Source organism: Homo sapiens, chromosome 9, assembly GCF_000001405.40.
Source record: "Homo sapiens chromosome 9, GRCh38.p14 Primary Assembly".
In the NCBI taxonomy this organism is placed as follows: Eukaryota; Metazoa; Chordata; class Mammalia; order Primates; family Hominidae; genus Homo; species Homo sapiens.
Window position 1 is genome coordinate 63,872,511 of NC_000009.12, and position 1,383 is coordinate 63,873,893.

At 37.5% G+C, this 1,383-nt stretch overlaps 1 annotated feature.

Annotated features, from left to right (window-relative positions):
• Positions 365 to 1,032: an enhancer, noted in NCBI's record as "OCT4-NANOG hESC enhancer chr9:68468609-68469276 (GRCh37/hg19 assembly coordinates)". NCBI's record gives its function as "activates a minimal SCP1, AML or CMV promoter by ChIP-STARR-seq in primed H9 embryonic stem cells {active_cell/tissue: H9 hESC(primed)}" and the evidence as "EXISTENCE:reporter gene assay evidence [ECO:0000049][PMID:30033119]".

The following is a 1,383-nucleotide window of genomic DNA, read 5'->3' on the forward strand; positions in this document are numbered from 1 at the left end:
ATCTCTTAACAAATTATTGTAGTTGTTATTATTTTTGTTTTGTATTTTAACCTTCTTACTAAAAACATGTAAGTGGTTTACATTCAATTATTACTATATTAGAGCATCCTGAATTTGTCTGAATATTTATTTTTACCTGCAAATTTATACCTTCCAATTTTTTGTATTACAAATTAGTGCCCTCTTCTTTCAGTTTGAAGACTGTTCTTTAACATTTCTTTGGTATGATTTGGTATAATTTTTTCCCATTATTTTAAATTCTTTGTTGAATTTCTCATAAATTTCCATATTGTTTCTCTGTACTTTGTTGAAGTGCACAGATTTTTTTAAAAAAAAAACAGCTATTTGAATTTTTTTGTCTGCCACATCATTCATTTGCATGTCTTTAGGTTCAGTTGCTGACACCTTGTTTTCTCCATTTGGTGAGGCAGTTTTTCCTAGGCTATTCTTATTTTTTGTAGATGTACATCTCTTTCTACACATTGATGAATTAAATATTTATTTCAGTCTTCTCAGTCTGGGTTTGTTTTTGACTGTTTCTCAGTGGGCTTGTTTAGAAATTCTGTGTGGATTTCCATTATATTCCATTTTAGCATTAGGAGGTGCCCAAAGCAAAGGTTAGACATAAGTCTTGCAATAGGGCTTCACCACTGATACAATGTAAATGGACGGGCCCATGGGTGATCCACAGAAAGGCTGCTGTCTGTTGGGGGAGAACAAGTCAGGCCATCAAATCTGGACAGTCTGTGTATCATGTTTCCCACAACGTGGTGCCCATAAACAACCTGTCTGGTATAATGTTTCCTCTGGTAGGAATGGCTAGCCACTGCTAAGTTTCATATAGTAAGTATCGCTAACCCAATCCCTTCTCTATGTCCCTAGCATGCCTCTGGTGGTTCAGCTCTGTTGACACTCATGGTGCTGCTTGTGGGCTGATGCAGGAGTGAGTCTACTGTGAAGGCACTCAGTATGGTGGAAAAAAATATTCAACTTCTGCTCACTTTATTCAGTGTAAGAACTGTGAGTTCAGTAGGACTTTGTGCATATAATACCTTTATGTCCAGGGGGAGAAGTATCACAGTCACAGAGTACTGTTTCCCTTACTGTCCAAGCATGGTTTTACTCCTCTTTGCAGTCCAAAGGGGCTTCATAGACTCACTCATGTATTCAGGGTTCGTTAGCTCTTGTAAAGGTAATTTCATATGTGGATAGTTTTTCATATAGATGTGTCCATAGGGGTATGATTACTGGAGAGATCGACTCCACTACCTTGCTCTGCCCAAATCCTTCCCCTTTCCAACAAGAGTTTGCCACCTCCTAGTTTTCTTTTTTCTTAACCAAACTAAGTTTAGCCTTTTAATCCTTCACCCTCCTCCACTTCTA